General features: G+C 42.5%; 1 long non-coding RNA gene across 1 annotated transcript in view; it reads left to right on the top strand.

Annotated features, from left to right (window-relative positions):
- The window catches only part of KCNJ8-AS1 (KCNJ8 antisense RNA 1), a 166,949-nt gene continuing 150,103 nt past the window's right edge, over window positions 2,554-19,399 (top strand). The window contains exon 1 of the long non-coding RNA XR_007063241.1: window positions 2,554-3,012. This is a non-coding gene — a long non-coding RNA (KCNJ8 antisense RNA 1). The remainder of the gene's footprint in view (window positions 3,013-19,399) is intronic.

A 19,399-nucleotide genomic window follows, 5' to 3' on the forward strand; every position in this document is an offset into this window, starting at 1 on the left:
CTATTTTGAAAAAAATCATTGGGAAACTATATGCCAACATATTGAAAAATAAGCAAAATTAGGAATCCAAGAAAGGGGGGAATTATGGCATAAAAATACAGGCAATGATGGCTAAACCAATTAATTTAGAGATAAGGACAAATAATTCCCAGAAACGTAGTTATAAAATTGAATGTTAATGTCCAAAATTGTCAAAACAATATTTGTCAAAAGGAGAATATTTTTCTTTCAAAAAATATTGAGGACTTCCTCTGTGACAGGCACTGTTTCAGTGATCAAGACAGATAAAATGCCTGCTCATGAGGAACATATATTCTGGTGGAGGATCATAGATAATAAACAAGTCAATGAATTTTAAAATGATTAGATAAAGGATGTAAACATAACAACATACAAGTTGCCCGTCTGGGCTTTTCCAGCCTGTGGGCTGTTGTCAACAATATTTATGATGTTGCAGAAGATGGAGTAATTCACTCCTATAGTAAATGACTCCATACTGCTGTGTTTTTTGACTTCTCATGCCTTAAAAAAAAAGTCTCCTGTTGTCAGATTGTGAACTGTTTTAAAACTGTATTCATAGAATTGGAGAACAAAATAGGAACTTTAAAATAATCTAATCCAAATGAATGCCTAGAGTTTGAGTGACTGGCCTCAAATTAGTCTGTGATTTAAGAATAGAACCAAAAATAATTTTGGTCTTGCAGCTATCTGTGTGCCTTTCTGTGGGATTCTTTGTAAATTCTATTTTGCTGTCTTTATTCTTCGGTAGCCACAAAACCAGATTAGCTAATGTTATTAGGACTGTAAGTTCTTTGAGGGTACTTTATTCACTTTTATATCTCCAAGTAGCATAGTATTTCTGACAAGATACATTTATATCTCCCAGCAGATACCTATTAAACTTGAGGCACAGTATGAGTAAATGAACCCTGAGTTAGGATTTGAAAGACATTCATTGATACATAGATTCTTTTACATCATTTTCCTTATTTCCTAGTTCTTCGGAATAGTTTGAGGAGCTGAAGTTCCTTGAAGCTGAGCTTCAGGTAGGTGAGGTATTACTATAATAGCAATATATGCTTGTAAATGGACAGCAACTGGCCTTGGTGGGTATCTCTAACAAGAAGAAGAAAAAGGTTCCAGGGAGAGAAAATAATACTAGTGGGGAAAAAGGAGAACTGAGGGTTTAATGTCTCAAAAAGCAAAATAATTCGATTCTAATTGTCTAGCCCTTCATTAGATAGTTGTAACATAGAGTACCTTTTTCCGTTTACATGTTAGCTGTTCTTTTTAGAAGACAGGTAGTTAAATTCTAAATCATACTAATAACTGTGAATTGACTCATTGTGGTGTCTACTTGGATATAGACTAGTTTGTGCTAAGCAGTACGTCCCTAATGTGCTTGAATGACAGATGTTTAGAAGTAGTTTATCGGTAAAAAATACCTAGGCTCAAAGCTATGAATATGGATACATTTTTATCTCTTGCTCTTGCAAGCTGTTTTCTCTGGGTATCTGAAAAACGTCATGGAAAAACTTTGACTATATTTATTCTACTTATGGAAAGATGCTTTCTTGCTGTCTCCTACTGAAAGGTGACAGCGTGCTGGCAGTCCTCACAGCCCTCCCTGGCTCTCGGCGCCTCTTCTGCCTGGGCTCCCCCTTTGGGGGCACTTGAGGAGCCCTTCAGCCCACCGCTGCACTGTGGGAGCCCCTTTCTGGGCTGGCCAAGGCCAGAGGTGGCTCACTCAGCTTCCAGGGGGTGTGGAGGGAGAGGCGCGAGCGGGAACCGGGGCTGCGCGCAGCGCTTGCGGGCCAGCTAGAGTTCCGGGTGGGAGTGGGCTTGGCAGGCCCCGCACTCGGAGCAGCCGGCCGGCCCTGTCGGCCCCAGGCAATGAGGGGCTTAGCACCCGGGCCAGCGGCTGCGGAGGGTGTACTAGGTCCCCCAGCAGCGCCGGCCCACTGGCGCTGCGCTCCATTTCTCGCCGGACCTTAGCTGCCTCCCTGCGGGGCAGGGCTCGGGACCTGCAGCCCGCCATGCCTGGGCCTCCCTCGCTCCCTGGGCTCCTGTGCGGCTCAAGCCTCCCGGACGAGCGCCGCCCCCTGCTCCACTGCGCCCAGTCCCATCTACCACCCAAGGGCTGGGGAGTGCGGGCCCACGGCGCAGGACTGGCAAACAGCTCCACCCGCGGCCCGGTACCGGCGGGATCCACTGAGTGAAGCCAGCTGGGCTCCTGACTCTGGTGGGGACTTGGGAGAACCTTTATGTCTAGCTAAGGGATTGTAAATACACCAATCGGCACTCTGTATCTAGCTCAAGGTTTGTAAACACACCAATCAGCACCCTGTGTCTAGCTCAGGGTTTGTGAATGCACCAATCCACACTCTGTATCTAGCTACTCAGGTGGGGATGTGGAGAACATTTGTGTCTAGCTCAGGGATTGTAAATGCACCAATCAGTGCCCTGACAAAACAGACCACTGGGCTCTACCAATCAGCAGGATGTGGGTGGGGCCGGACAAGAGAATAAAAGCAGGCTGCCCGAGCCAGTAGTAGCAAGTGGCTGTGGTCCCCTTCCACGGTGTGGGGGCTTTGTTCTTTCCCTCTTTGCAATAAATCTTGCTGCTGCTCACTCTTTGGGTCCACACTGTCTTTATGAGCTGTAACATTCACCGCGAAGGTTTGCAGCTTCACTCCTTAAGCCAGTGAAACCACTAACCCACCAAGAAGAATGAACAAACAACTCCAGACGCGCGGCCTTAAGAGCTGTAACACTCACCGCGAAGGTCCGCAGCGTCTCTCCTGAGCTAGTGTGACCACGAACCAACCAGAAGGAACAAACTCCGAACACGCCGCCTTTAAGAACTGTAATACTCACCGCGACGGCTTTTAAGAACTGTAACACTCACCGCGACGGTCGGCGGCTTCATTCTTGAAGTCAGTCAGACCAAGAACCTACCAATTCCGGACGCACTACCCGGGGGACATGATAAATCTGGGAAGGGCACCTCAGGTAAGCCTTTGACTTGCTAGGGGTTCAGCCTTGCTAGAGTTATACAGAGAATAAAATATGCATGTATAGTGAATTATACACAGTTTGAAGTTCATAGTTTTTGTCTGAAAGTGAGCTTTCAGGCAGAGGAGCTGAAAGATCAGCAGAGCCCATTAGAAACCAGAACTGCCCCACTTCTTTCCACATGGTGTTCTTCTCATTGTCTGGGTGCTGCTTCTGGGAACAGAAGCACCTAGTCTACATTCTCTGGGCATTGTGTGAAGTCGTCTGATGGCATCTATATTTCCCCTTCCTGGAACCATGAACTATTATCCTTTCTGGTGCCAAGGACTGCAGTTGCAAATACTTACTTTCTTATATCAGAGATCCTGAAGGAGATAGTAGCTTTTCTATGTTCTAGCTGTACACATTTCAAAACACAGATTTTTTTTTATTTGTTTAGTTTATGTTTTAGAAAATAAAAGGTTAATCAGAATGCAAATGCTGGTAATAAAACAAACAGTCCCGGCCAGCTTGTAATCACAGCACTTTGGGAGGCCAAGGCAGGTGGATCACGAGGTCAGGAGATCGAGACCATCCTGGCTAACATGGTGAAACCCCGTCTTTACTAAAAATACAAAAAATTAGCCGGGCATGGGCGGGGTGCGGCGGTTCATGCCTGTAATCCCAGAACTTTGGGAGGCCGAGGCAGGTGGATCACGACGTCAGGAGTTTGAGACCAGCCTGGCCAAGCTGGTGAAACCGCATCTCTACTAAAAATACAAAAATTAGCCAAGCACGGTGGTGGGCGCCTGTAATTCCAGCTACTCGGGAGGCTGAGGCAGGAGAATCACTTGAACTCCCTAGGCAGAGGTTGCCGTGAGCCGAGATCATGCCACTGCACTCTAGCCTGGGCAACAGAGCAAGACTTTGTCTCAAAAAAAAAAAAAAAAAAAAAAATTAGCTGGGTGTGGTGGCATTTGCCTGTAGTCCTAGCTACTCAGGAGGCTGAGGCAGGAGAATCGCTTGAACTCAGGAGGTGGAGGTTGCAGTGAGCTGAGATCACGCCACTGCATTCCAGCATGGGTGACAGAGTGAGACTCTGTATCAAAAAAAATAAATAAAGGAAAAAAAAAAACAGTCCGCCGCCTCTCTCTCATCCCCAGTCCTGATCCTCAGAGCAACTACTCATTCTTTCTGACTTCTTGAGTTGTAGTCCGAAAGTCCAGCTGCTGATTCCTTTCTCTCCCTGTGCTCATTTAAAATATGCATGAGTATCTAGTCCTTTAAATATACATTAATTTGTGAGGTGGAAAGTGTTATTACTGAGATTTTTTTGCTAGAAAACCCTAGAGTTCACTTGACTAAAGTTTTGTTAGAGTCCTGCAAAGCAATACACATCCAGGAATTTGTATTATATGATTTGTGTAAAGCTTTCATTTATTGAAAATAGTACTATGTGCCAGGCATGCAATGCATTAACTGCATGTAATAATGTGCTCACATGAACCAAGTATAAGTAATGCTTACTTTACTTATATTAACTTACGTAATCCTCATTTCAACCCTATGTGGTGGGTACTTTTATTTTTCTTATTTTAAGGATATGGGGAAACTGAATCACAGAAGGTCAATAACCTGACCAAGATCACACAACTAGTAAGCAGACTCTCTCTCTCCCTCTCTCTCTCTCTCTCTCTCTGTGTTTAAATTTTTGTTTTTTTTTTTCCTGAGACAGGGTCTTGCGCTCTCACCCAGGCTGGAGTGCTGTGGTGCAATCTGTGCTCACTGCAACCTCCGTCTCCTGGGTTCAAGCGATTCTCCTGCCTTAGCCTTCTGAGTAGCTGGGATTACAGGTACCCACCACCATGCCCAGCTAATTTTTGTATTTATAGTAGAGACAGGGTTTCACCATGTTGACCAGGCTGGTCTCAAACTCCTGACCTCAAACTCCTGACCTCAGATGATCCTCCCGCCTCAGCCTCCCAAAGTGCTGGCATTACAGGTGTGAGCCACTGCACCCCGCCGGATCATTCTTAACATACAGATTTATACAGATTTGTTTCCTTTTAAAAAATGGTTACTAAATATTCAATCATTCAGAAACACCATGATGTATTTAACTGTTCCCATATTTTGAGACATTATGCTTTTTACTATGATAAATAATGTTGTATAGATATCATTGTACATTGTAGTCATCTGTATTTGTCATTGCTTGGGTAGGTCTCTGAAAGTGAAATTCCTGGGTAAAAGAGTAGAACAGTTTTTTGGAAGGGCTGTACCCTTTGATTCCAAACCCCATCTGCATATGTCTTACTATACTGTCATCATATTGCATATTACTAAATTTTATTTGTCCAGTTTGTCAGATGAAAAGGGTATTTGGTTCTCTTCTGCAATTATAGAGGCAGTAGGAAAAAAAGTGATGTTTTGTTATAAATTTGTATAACTATGATTATTGGTTGTGTATACTTTCACATTTTTTAAACTTTCCATTATCTGCTCCTCTACCAAAGTGAGCATTCTTCTTGTTTTGTTTCTCTACTTAGCAACTATTCACTTTACTTCTGAAAACAGCCTCGGGGTTTTCTATCCTCTCATCTCTTCCTCTCCTTAAATACATCAAAGCTTCCCAAAGGAAAAACCTATCTAAAACTGGAGCCAAACAAGGGGAATAAGACGAGAGACAGCAAAAGAGAAGCCAGTGATGGCATTCGAGTTTCTGCATCAAGAGCAACGTAAGCCGGGCGCAGTGGCTCAGGCCTGTAATCCCAGCAGTTTGGGAGGCCGAGGCGGGCAGATCACAAGGTCAGTTCAAGACCAGCCTGACCAATATGGTGAAACCCTGTCTCTACTAAAAATATAAAAATTAGCCAGGCATGGTGGGTGGTGGTGGGCACCTGTAGTCCCAGCTACTCGGGAGGCTGAGGCAGGAGAATCGCTTGAACCTGGGAGGCGGAGGTTGCAGTGAGCCGAGATCACACCACTGCACTCCAGCACTCCAGCACTCCAGCCTGGGTGACAGAGCAAAACTCTCTCTCAAAAAAAAAAAAAAAAAAAAAAAAAAAAGGCAACATAATGCAGCCTCGTCCCTAGGCTAGTTTAGGTAAGCAAACTTCACTGACGATAAAAGAGGTCCTAACTGATGTATTATTTTGACCAGTTTGAAATTACAATGTCATTGTTATTTCAATACTGATAAAAGAAAAACTCAGCCAAATTAAATTTAAAGGAGTTGAATTGAGCAATGAATGTTTTGCGAATCGGGCAGCCCCCCCAAATCTCAGCAGATTCACAGAGGCTCCAGCGCAGCCATGTGGTGGAAGAAGACTTACAGACAAAAAAAAAGGGAAATGACGTACAGAAATTGGAAGTGAGGTACAGAATGGCTGGATTGGTTACAGCTCGGTGTTTGCCTTATTTGAACACAGTTTTAACACTCATCAGTGTATGAATGGTTGAAGTATGGCCTCTGGAATGGCCAAGACTTAGCTATAGTTACAGATGCATACTCTGAAGTTACGTTTTCAATTTTGTCTGACTACTAAGCTAGGTTACAGTTCATCCACAAGGACTCAAATATAGAAGTATGGAGTCTTTCTCGGGCCATATTTAGTTTGCTTTAATAATATCAAAATACTAAAAGTAAGGGTGATTTTAAAAAACGTTTTATTTTGTGTTAATTTTAAACTCAGAATAAGTTGCCAAAACTGTTTGGTGAGTTCCCATGTATCCATCACTCAGCTTCCTCCCATAATAACAACTTACTTTATCATTGAGCTTGTTAATATCAGAAAATGAACACTGGTACACTACTGTAAGCTAAACTAGGGACCTTATTCAAATTTTAGCAATTTTAATATTAATATGAGTATTTTTTTAAAAATACACATTTATTCATGTTAAGCAATTTGTGCATTGTGGATAGATTGTTTTTCTAACTAGAAAGTAAATATTAAAAATACTTAAAAATATATCAGGCACTACCTAGGTTTTTAGGCAATATCAGTGGACTCAGGAGTTTATTTTACTTTTAGAGTAGAAAACGTTGGAGAGAACATTTGCCTCAGGCATTCTGAGAGTGGATTGAGCATTTACGTTAATTATTATGTCTTACTCATTATTTCAGACAGGTTAAAATGTAACTTCTTGCAGTGTTCTCGTGTACCACGAAGGAATTTGTTCCTACCCTCATCCATCACCAGTGGTTGAAATCAGTCAGCTTAATGGGTTTCTAAAAGCCATTTCCAGGCAGCTGTGTTTACCCTTCTCTCCAAATGCTCATTGGGGCTTCCTAAGCAGAAATATGACAAGGAACACTTCACTCATCTGTATTTAAATATAAAAGCCTTGTGTATATAAATATAAAAGTTTAGTGTCTCTTTTTGTTTTCTCTGATTTTGGCCTATGGCAAAAAAGAAAATAAAAAGTGATAACAAACAAAAAACAATTTGAAAACAGGTGAACCAAAAGTAGCCCCTAAAATCCAGAGTTCTGATGTTGTAGTTGATTTTTTTGTTTCCTGTTTTTTGTTTTAGGGATGGGGGTCTCTCTATGTTGTCCAAGCTGATCTCAAACTCCTGGCCTCAAGCCATTTTCCTGGCTTGGTCTTCCAAAGTTCTGGGATAACAGGCATGAGCCATCACTCCCAGCCCTGATATTACTTGAATGAAATTTGTTAAATAAAAAATAGGTGCCACTGGGGAGTAGAACATAAGGGAGCTAATATTTATTGACATCTACTATGGCTAGATGTCATACTAGGTGCTTTGAATGGCTCTGTTTAATCTTGGTGGTGTAGTCAAAAGTGTACTCATGATGTTGACCTTGAGACAAATGTCTAATAGTATTTAATGAATAGGGATTACAGTGTAACGGGGCAAAAGAAGCATTGTAAAGCCAGAGGCAGAAGGTACAATCCAACTTCTGGCTAATTAAGTGATACTATACTGTCAGATCCTCTCACTTTAATTATCTTAATTTTATTCTCCAAATAATTCATGATCTTTTATAAAGAATTGAAAAAATACGGGAAGGTGTAAGAAAGCAAAAGTCCTTACTTTCCCCATACCCCGATTCCTCTGCCTAGGGGTAATTGTCTTTAACATATTAATATGCGTCCTTTCTGTCTCCCACAACCTAAAAATAAAAGATATAGTTGAAATTTTGTTAGTAAACAATAAGATTCTAACCAATCCTTTTCAGATGTAAATAACTTACTGTTCATAATGATAGCTTTACTTTTGGCAAATTATATTTCCTAATTTCAAATATTGGGTCTCTTAGATCATGTGAGGAATAATATAGCATTGTATGTATATTTTTCTTACTGGTTTAGAATTTAATAAAAATTGTTAAAATTTACTGAGTTTAAAAGTTACTAAAGTTTATTACTGTGTGCTAGGTGCTTTGCCTAAATTAGCATATGATAACGTGTTTAATCTTCATGAGAACCTTTTAAACTAGGTGCTAAAACTCTCCCTATTGGACAGTTGGTAAATTTTAGGCACCGAGAGGTCAAATAAATTGGCTAAGACCACAAAGCTACTAAGTGGTGATGCTAAAATTCAAACCCAAAAGTCAAGTTCCAAGATCCCAGAACCAGAACTCTTAACCACTATGCAGTACTGAAGATAATGAGCTAGTGAAAGAGCATGGTCAATACACACACACACACAGCTGGTAATAACCTAGAAATCACAGTTTTGCTACCAGACAAGGAGATTTTCTACTTTCTATGAAAAAATATATTGTTTGTTTTTTTGTGGGGGGTTTTAGAAAGAATTTGACTGAGGGTCACAAGGCAAAGAAAGAGACCAAAGCAAGTTTTAGAGCAGGAGTGGAACTTTATTAGAAACCTTTAGAACAGTAAGAAAAGGAAAGAAAGAAAGGAAGAAAAGCACACTTGGAAGGAGGACCAAGCAGGTGACTTGAGAAACCAAGTGTGCCTGTATTATTGTTGTTCTGAACTAATAAATTTGATGTTTTCTCATGAGTTTGGATCATAATCCTGAAAGACTTGAATACCATAATCCTGAATGTTGAAATCCCGAAAAATCAAAATCCCTAAAGTCCAAATCCCTGAAGTCTAAAATCCCCCCAAAATCACGATCACATTATAACGACATCATGTTTGGTGGAACTATTATCTTGTTATTTTCTTATTTGAAAATTCAGTGGCCGGGCGTGGTGGCTCATGCCTGTAATCCCAGCACTTTGGGAGGCTGAGGCGGGTGGATCACAAGGTCAGGAGTTTGAGGCCAGCCTGGCCAACGTGGTGAAACCTCATCTCTACTAAAGATACAAAAATCAGCTGGGTGTGGTGGCTGGTGCCTTGTAATCCCAGCTACTCGGGAGGCTGAGGCAGGAGAATCGCTTGAACCCAGGAGGTGGAGTTTGCAGTGAGCTGAGATCGTACCACTGCACTCTAGTCTGAGTGACAGAGTGAGACTCTGTCTCAAAAAAAAAAATTAAGTGTGGGTGATTAAGGAGATGCATGTGGGTGCCAAGTTGACAAGGGGTGAACTTGTGGACTCAATTTTGGGAGTCAACTTGACCAAATTAAGGAATACCAAAAAAACCTGGTAAAGAATTTTCTGGGGGAGTATCTGCAAGTATGTTTTGAGAGGAGATTGCTGTGTGAGCCTGTGTGGTGTAGGTGGGGAAGATCTGCCCTCAATGTTGGCGGCTCCATCCAATCAGCTAGGGACTTGGAGAGAATAGATAGAGAAGGCAAATTGGTATCTTTGAGAGTAGAGACTTTTCTTTTTCTGCCTTGGACATCAGAACCCCTAACTTGCTGGCTCTTGGACTCCAGAACTTACATCAGTGGTCCCCCAGGTCCTGACGCTCTCAGACTGAGAGGTACCTTTGCTTCCCTGGTTCTCAACATAAAAACATTGAAGCTTCCTCTATAAATGAAAAGATGTCCTTTTTGTACATATGCATTTGTGAAAGATAAAATTTCACAAGGTCTCGGCTCTTTGGGAGACTGCAAATGCGGTGGCAACCCATCACAATCTTTGATTCGTCTTGTCAAAAGACTTATGTTGTCCTTCACGGTACTTCAGATGACTGTAGTTACAAAACTAAGTGCACACAATTACCAACCATGGTGACATGCATTTATACATTTTGCTTTTTGACCTGTTTCTTTATGAATATGGTTTTTCTGCTCATAACTGTTGTACCCGTGAGACTCTATAGCTGAGTGTTTATGCTTGCAAAAATATGTATATTTTACATATCTTATTGTGTAAAGTGGTCTATGACAATAGATCTTTGCACAATAAAATAATTACAATAGACCTTTACATAATAAAAATATTTTACTTTATTATGTAAAGTGGTCTATGAAATATTCTTTTTTTTCTCAAATATCCTTTTAAAATATAAATAAATGTTATTTAAATAATTTTAAATTATCTTTACCAGAATTATATTTTCAAGATTTTGATCTTTTTTAAGATTTCAACATTTGGAATTATGGTATGTGGGATTGTTTCTTTCAGAATTATTATAGGCTCCCTTTAACCATAACTTTTATGGTTTTCTTTCCTCTCCTTTTGGCCTTTGGCAAAGCAAAAACAAAGTAAAAACAAGCCCTTTTGTGTCTCTTAGTGGTATCTATGCATGGAATCTCCAGAATTATATCTCATGGCCCAAGAGTTTTAGCCTTCATTAGCTTATTACGTCACATTTCCATTTAATGTCTAGTTTCAACAGTTAGAGCCTCTATCCCATAAGACCAAAGACATTTTAGTCATTTTTCCACTTTTCTGCTTTCCAGCTGTGTTTGGGAACTCCTGGGTAATGTGCACAGTGTTTCTCAAATCAGTCCTTGTTATCGCTCCCTGTCTCCATCAGTGGTAGGGCTTCAGTCTATTGCTTCATTCTCCTGCAGGTCCCCTCTTCCATTTTGAGACCAGCTTCTCCCAAGTGCCACTTGCTTTTCCTTGGCCTGTTTCACCTCAAGCATGATAACAGATCATTCTCTCCAGTGGGAGCAGACATTAGGCTATAATGTTTATTAAAATTTATCAGATAGTTTAAGAAGAACAGAAGGGAATTATAACACAGAAAGCCTAAAACTGGAACCTATAGATAGCCACACCGGAGTCCACAGATGCAAGCTCCCCTGCAGATGTCACTCTTAGCTCTGGACCCAACTACAAATTGTAGGGTACTGCTTCCCTCCAAAAAGGAGTAGCCTTGAACACAGCCAGGCCACTGATTCACAAACTCCAGAGAAAGGAAGGTGTTTCCTCTTCTACACTGTCTAAGCTGAGCCCCTAAAATCCCCATTTCCTGCCCCGATTATTTAGGGAGTAATTGCAGGTGGGGATAAAGTCTCATTCGTTGACAGAGAGCCCTCACCTCATCCCCACACTTATAGGGGTATGGACTTGCTCTTAGGAATCCCCAGACCACTGAGATGCAACAGTGCATTCCTCAAGCATGCCATTGTTTGGTCTTATGTGACTCCATGTGTAACTTCAACAATCCAGACTTGTTTAGATGCCTTTTAATTTTTTTGTTGTTCCTTTATTGCACTGGCACTTTTATTGAGTAGCAGTTAGGAGAGTAGACATCTATCTCTTGTTCCCAATCTAAGGAGAAAGCCCTTAAGTCAGTATTAAGTATGATACTAAATTCAGTGGGGGTGCTTTTGTTTTTGTTTTTATTTTTGTTTATTAAGAATAGGTGCTGAATTTAGCAAACATCTTATATGTATCTATTAATATGATGATTTAGTATTTATCTTTGATTACACTGACTTATTTTCAAATATTAAACAACCTTGCATTCTTGGAATAAACCCTACTTGTGGGGCCACGTGGTGGTAGTATTTTAGTATTTTGTTGGATTTCACTTGTTAATATTTTGCTGAGAATTTTTACATCTTAGATCTCTAGAATTAATCTGTAGTTTTCTGGTAACTTCTTGATGATTTTGTTACAAGGCTAATGCTGGCCTTTGAAGACGAGTTGGAAAGTATATCCTTCTCATCCATTTTCTGAAAGTTAAGTATCTAGATTTTACTGTATTTTATAAAGAGTGTGGAAGTTTGTTTGACAGACATTTAAATTACTTGTGGATCAGCTTGATGCTGTGGAGGCTTGTTTTTAAACTGTTAGAGCAGGTCTAGAGTGGTCTTGCTCTATGACTGGCTTATATGTATTACCAAGGTTTACACTTCTGGGCGATGTACTGAAACCCTGGGTCTTCAACAGGATCTGTACACTAATGGCTGACCCGAGTTTGAATATCTCTGGATTCCCTTTGGGTTCTAGAAACATTTCGTTTACAGCTCCTCTCAATGGTTCTTTGCTGCCCTCCTGTCTTATGTGCACCCCACACATTCCAGCTGCCTGAGCTTTTCTGAACTCTAGTCCCTGTCTTTTCAACTCAATGACACTGCAGTGTTCTGCTTGGACTTATACCTCCAATGTGGTCCAAAAAATCCCTTCAGGAAGAAAGTCAAGGCAATTATAGTGATCATCTTCTTTCCTAGTTTTCAAGGATCACATTCTTGTGCCTATTTTATAATGTCTAAAAACCTGTTTCTCCCGTCTTGTTCAGTTTTCTAGTTGTTTACATTGGCAAGCCCAGAATTGTTTCTATGGTGGCCCCAGAGCCTTTTTACATAATCAAGCCTTGTGAATAATTCTCAATTCCCTATATAAAATAGGTGCTTTAGATGGTGAAGATGCAGCCTGACTGCATGGTCTTGCATATTTAGAAGCATTTTCAGAAATTCTGAATTTTCCTTTAAACTGTACTACATTCAATATTTTGTAATTATAGTAGTGGAATTTTAAATACTATTGTATCACAGTTCAAACTAATATTTCTTAAATACCCTATAAAGATTCTGAATCAGTGGGTATGGGGTGGAGTTCAAGAGACTGTGTGTTTAATAAATATCCAAGTGATTCTGATACAGGTTTCCAAAGTACACATTTTGTGGAAAACTGTTCTAAGTTTCTAAAGAGTCTCAAACCTTATCTTTGGCTCTCTACCCTCACTGCCTTCACTCCACCCCATAAATAAGAATCATATTGTTTAATCCCAAATGCTTTGGTCAAGGTGATAGGCAACTATAGGAAGCAGCAAGGGTGATGATCACAAGTATATGTTCTCTGTTAGAGTGTCTGGAGTCAAATTCAGGCTTTCCCATGATTAGCTATGTCACAGTGAATAGATGGTGCCATCTTTCTTAACCTTCCTCATCTCTACACATAGCAATGGATTGTTGTAGAGCTCAGATTAGATAAAGTGGCAGGATATGCCCTATAACTGCAACCAAGAAAGGACTAATAGTTCCTAGTGTAAAATTCCCTGTATCATTTCTTTACCCCAAAACGGGGAAGGGTGACCTTTATTGCCTCTACATATATCTGTCTGGGCCATGGCCTGTGCACTTGTGCATGTAAAAGGGGCCCCTGGGAGCGGTGGGACACACTATACCTACTCATACTGTGTCCGGAATTGGTGGGTTCTTGGTCTGACTGACTTTAAGAATGAAGCCGCGAACCCTCACGGTGAGTGTTACAGTTCTTAAAGGTGGCGTGTCCAGAGTTTGTTCCTTCTGATGTTTGGATGTGTTCAGAGTTTCTTCCTTCTGGTGGGTTTGTGGTCTCGATGGCTCAGGAGTGAAGCTGCGGACCTTCGCAGTGAGTGTTACAGCTCATGAAGGCAATGTGGACCCAAAGACCGAGCAGCAGCAAGATTTATTGCAAAGAGCGAAAGAACAAAGCTTCCACAGTGTGGAAGGGGACCAGAGCGGATTGCCACTGCTGGCTTGGGCAGCCTGCTTTTATTCTCTTATCTGGCCCCACCCACATCCTGCTGATTGGTCCATTTTACAGAGAGCCCAGTGGTCTGTTTTGACATGGTGCTGATTGGTGCGTTTACAATCGGTGAGCTAGACCCAAAGTTCTCCAAGTCCCCACTAGATTAGCTAGATACAGAGTGTCCACACAAAGGTTCTCCAAGTCCCCACCAGAGTAGCTAGATAGAGAGTGTGGATTGGTGCATTCACAAACCCTGAGCTAGACACAGGGTGCTGATTGGTGTGTTTACAAACCTTGAGCTAGATACAGAGTGCCGATTGGTGTATTTACAATCCCCTAGCTAGACATAAAGGTTCTCCAAGTCCCCACCAGACTGAGGAGCCCAGCTGGCTTCACCCAGTGGATCCCGCACCTGGGCAGCAGGTGGAACTGCCTGCCAGTCCCGCCCCGTGTGCCCGCACGCCTCAGCCCTTGGGTGGTCGATGGGACTGGGCGCAGTGGAGCAGGGGGCGGTGCTCATCGGGGAGGCTCGGGCTGCACAGGAGCCCACAGAGCTGGGGGGTGGGGGTGGGGGTGGGGGTGGGGGTGGGGGAGGCGGCTCAGGCATGGCGGGCTGCAGGTCCTAAGCCCTGCCCCTGCCCCTGCCCCTTGGGGAGGCAGCTAAGGCCCGGGGAGAAACCGAGCGCAGCGCCAGTGGGCCGGCACTGCTGGGGGACCCAGCACACCCTCCGCAGCCGCTGGCCCGGGTGCTAAGTCCCTCACTGCCCGGGGCCGGCACGGCCGGCCAGCCGCTCGGAGTGCAGGCCAGCCCAATCCATGCCCACCCGGAACTCGCGTTGGCCCGCAAGCACTCTGCGCAGCCCCAGTTCTGCTCGCGCCTCTCGCTCCACACCTCCCTGCAAGGTGAGGGAGCCGGCTCCAGCCTTGGCCAGGCCAGAAAGGGGCTCCCACAGTGCAGTGGTGGGCTGAAGGGCTCCTCAAGCGAGGCCAGGGTGGGCGCGCCAAGGCCGAGGAGGCACCAAGAGCGAGTGAGGGCTGTGAGGGCTGCCAGTGCGCTGTCACCTCTCAATATCAGCAGGTATAGTCTGCTAATTTACTTGTACACTGCAAACTTCTAGAGGCTCATCTGTCATCTCTGTATCTTCAGTGTGTGAAAGAGTTCAAGACATATTATAGGAAATAATTTAATGGTTGTGATATTGTGAAGTGTGTATTTGGTCTTCTTCCCTGTTTCCTGGTATACAACCCCTAAAATCCATGGAATCTCCAAAGTGATGTGTCCTTTTGTTTGCTAATGAGTTGATTGGTGGCTGGTGGTCCTAGGTAGTTTCAGGACCAAGGCAGGATTAGAGGGCTGGAATTTTTCAGCCTTCTCCCCACACCCTGCCACCTCCAGGGAGGGGACAGGGGCTGAAGGTTTAGTTGATCACCAATGGTTTCATCAGTCATGACTCTGTAATGAAGGCTCCATAAAAACAAAAAAGGACTGGGTTCTGAGACTTTCCAGGTTCTTGGAGGGTGGCATGACTGTGGAGGACATAGAAGCTCCACTCTCCTTCCCACATGGCTTGTTTTATGTATCTCTTCATCCATATCCTTTGTAATATCCTTAATAACAAACTGGTAAATAAACCTGAGTTCTGTGAGCTGCTCTAACGAATTAATCAAACCTGAGGAGGGAGCGTGGGAATCCTGATTTATAGCCAGTTGCTCAGAAGCACGGGTAAAATAACCTGGGGCTTTTGGTTGGCATCGGAAGTGGGAGGGCAGTCTTGTGGGACTGAGCCCTCATTCTGTGGGATCTGATGCTATCTCTAGGCAAATAGTCTCAGAATTGAATAGAATTAAAGGACACTCAGCTGGTTTCTGCTGCAGAGTTGCTTGTTTGCTTGTGGCGTGGGGAAAATCTACACATACCTGGTGTCAGAATTGCTTCATTGCTGGTTAAGAGAAATCCTCACACATTTTGGAGACCAGACCAGAGGTCACAGAAGTGTTCCATGTGGATTGTGTTGTGGACAGTAGAGAGTAGGAAAAATGTTTCGGTTTTTCTATATCTTTACAATGGCTTCCTTTTTTGTTAAACAGACCAATGAATGAAGATGATATGAGAACATGGAAGCCTCAGACCCGTTGGCAATGCTCCTTCTCCCCCTCCTCCTTCTCTTCCTCCTATTCTTTGATATGTTTTGCATGTTTACCTTGATGCATTCCTGACCTCTCTTCCTAGACCCAAGTTTGAACAGGTTAGAAAATACATGTTTACAAGGCTTTCAAAATCTTCCTAAGTGTAAGTGGATGATTCACATCAGGGCAACCTGAGACTGATCTCTCCACTTTGAATGTTCCACCAGCCATGTGGAAGAAAGATCATCTTAGGGCATGCCTGCAGACTTACAATTTCACAGAAATTCGAACCTGTAAAAGGACAGTACCATTCCCTATTATATTCCCACATTCCTAGCACACAGTAATCGTCAATAGGTATTTGATGGATACTTTTTTTTTTCATCTCACTGAACTACTGATACTTTCTCTTTTCAGTATTCACAATACTGGCCTTTTTAGTGCATATCAGTGTAATTTAAAGAGTAGAGTGTAAAATTTTCTCTTCCTTTGATTTTGAAAATCTACTGCTATTAAATCTGCCGTTAGGGTGACCCTAACTTAGACTTCCTGGGTTTGGTTATTAGCTCTTCTTGCATCTGTCCTAAATATTGGTGGTTCCTAGGATTTAGTGTGATGCCAGCATCTCACCCACAGTCTATGGTGCTTGAGCTATTACACCATTCCAGTGGCATCAACAGTTTGTTACCCTTGATGGCTACCACCTGACCTTTTCTCCTGAGTCTCAGACCTCTATTTTAGCTATCTTCTGGATACATTTGCCTGGAATCCTTACAGGCACCTTAGACTCAGCCTGTCTCTGAAGAAGCACCTCTACATGCTATTTCTTCCTTATGGCAGCTGTCAAATATTGAGAAATATTTCTCTGAATGTATGTCTTAAAATGTAACAAAAGATGTCATTTATTTTTTAATATGCCTAGACTCTGTGTGAAAGGTTAATGAATACTACAAATGGTTGCTTCTGGGGAGGAAGAAAGGTTACTTTGTGTTGTTTATCTTTTGATATCTTTTAAATTTTATGCCACAGACAGGTACACTTCTTTATACAACGATAATAGTGTAATGAAAAGGAAAGGGAAATATTTATCATAAAAATTCACATACCAAAAACTGACCACTTGAGAACTCACCTATAAGGGAACTGGCCCATTTCCTTTCAAAGTATACTTTGCTGAAAGTGAGACAGAAGATAATTTATTCATGAGTACTTGCTCCTTTTAAACAAGCTTGTTCAAAGGCTGTGGTATTGTTTCAAGTTCTCTTGAACACAAAGTCAAGGGTTGTGAACTTTAAGCCACCTGAATTTAAATACTGAGTGCATGTATCACACGCATATGTGCACTGTTATTCATTCAAAAACATTTCTCAGTGCCAGGCACTGAGTTAAGATCTGAGGACACAGAATTAAATAACTCAGAGTTCCTGTACTCAAATCGCTCACAGTTTAGAGGCCCTATTGATACGGAAGGCCAGCAGGGAAGTGCTAGGTAGAGGAGGGCTATGGTCCCCGGCTAGGGTTCCGTTCCCGGCTAGGGTTCCATCCCCAGGCCTGCGCCCACAGACCTAGGTGAGGACAGGCATTTATGTTTTCCTGCCCAAATGTTGCATTTCCCAAGACCACCCTGGCCGGCCACGTCCCCATCCTGTGCCTATAAAACCCCCTGAGACCCTACCAGGCAGAGACACAAGCAGCTGGACGTCAAGAGGAGCACACTGGCGGAGGAACACACAAGCAGCTGGACGTCGAGAGCACATCGACAGGCACCAGCAGGCCATCGACAGGTGGAACAACGTGGGGTTTGGACGGGGTGGTCAGAGGAGAGCCCGGCTGCTGAGTGACCTGACTCCAACAGGAAAACCATCTTCCTACTCTGTCTCCCTTCTGGCTCCCCCATCTGCTGAGAGCTACTTCCACTCAATAAAACCTTGCATTCATTCTCCAAGCCCACGTGAGATCCAATTCTTCGGGTACACCAAGGCAAGAAACCCCAGGGTACAGAAAGCCTTCTGTCCTTGAGATAAGGCAGGGAGTCTAATTGAGCTAACGCAGGCTGCCTACAGATGGCTAAAATAAAAGAGCACCTGAAAAAGTGAGCCACACCCCCATCTCATGCCCTGCATGGGGGACAAGGGAACTTTTCCGGTTTCAACATGAAATGATGTGTTATTGTGCAGGCGATATCTGGGGCATCTGGCCTTGCTGTGAACAGAAAGGGTTTAGGCAGCCAGGTGAGGCTTTCTGAAAGACAGGGTCTGTGCTCTTAAGGTGGAGCTGAATTAGGAGAGAGAGGAGGTGAGCAGGAGCAAAAACACTGAGATCTGGAATGCCGAACTGTAAACTAGGGAGAGGAGCAATTTGGAGTTGTCAGAGCTTGTGTGAGGTAGCTAATGATGACTTTAGATGCGTCATCTTCCTAACTGAATTCAAGAACTCTGGCTGTGTGTGTGTGGTGGGTGTGTGTGTTATGTGTTTAAACCAGGGAATGTCTTATGTGCCTAATATTTTTATTTCCTGAAGAGTTTTAGTTTAACTTTTGCACTGCCTAAAGTCATGTCAATTGATGTAAGTCTTTCTAACCTTTGAGTAAACCCATAAAACCTCTGAATTTTATATAAAATTGTGCGTATATGCATGTGGACATTTTCCCAGGGTGAGAGTCCAGATAGCCTCATCAGTGGTTTCCCAAAAAGGATCTCTCTCTCTCTCTTTCTTTCTTTCTCTTTCCCTCTCTCTCTTTCTTGCTTTCTTTCTCTCTCTCACACACACACATGTGCGTGTGCACACAAACTCAAGACATGGACACTTCATTAGTTATAAACTTTTAAAATACAGATAACTCTGGAAGGATTAAAAAAACCTCTTATTTATTCCAGCCATTCCCAAACATTGAGCATTCCACTGCCAATGCATGAGAAACACTTTACCCATCTGAAGGGTAATACATTTACCAGCTGAATACATTTCTGGTGGCTTCATATTGGTTGATTATTCCAGGACGCATAGACTACACTATTTTTATACCTAGTAGCTATTGTACAAATTCATATAAACCCTTGGATTAAAGGTGTTTAGGATATAGAGCTATATCATTCCATGGAATCCTTCTGTCATTTTTACTGAGCCACAAAGTCCTCCCAGAAGCTGGGGAGTTTACTGTGTAAGCTTTCCTCATCTATGTGTGGGCTGTATAAACACAGCCTGTTAGCATGTATTTGAAAGTAAGTAGGTAATCTTGGGGGAAAACTATACTGCATAAATTGGGTTAGAAATGTATTTCCTTTCTTCCTAAACCACACTTAGTTTCTTTCAATGCTGTTTTTTTAAAGTCCTTTTAGTTTGTTTGAAAAATAAGTTACAGAACTATTTCTAACAGAAGATTGATTTTTTCTGCCTGTCACGATGTACCTACAAGGAAAGGGAAATGAGAATGTGTGTGAGACACAAACACATTATCTGAGCAATGATAAGCATAGTCATTT

This window comes from Homo sapiens, chromosome 12 (genome assembly GCF_000001405.40).
Source record: "Homo sapiens chromosome 12, GRCh38.p14 Primary Assembly".
NCBI classification, from domain to species: domain Eukaryota; kingdom Metazoa; phylum Chordata; class Mammalia; order Primates; family Hominidae; genus Homo; species Homo sapiens.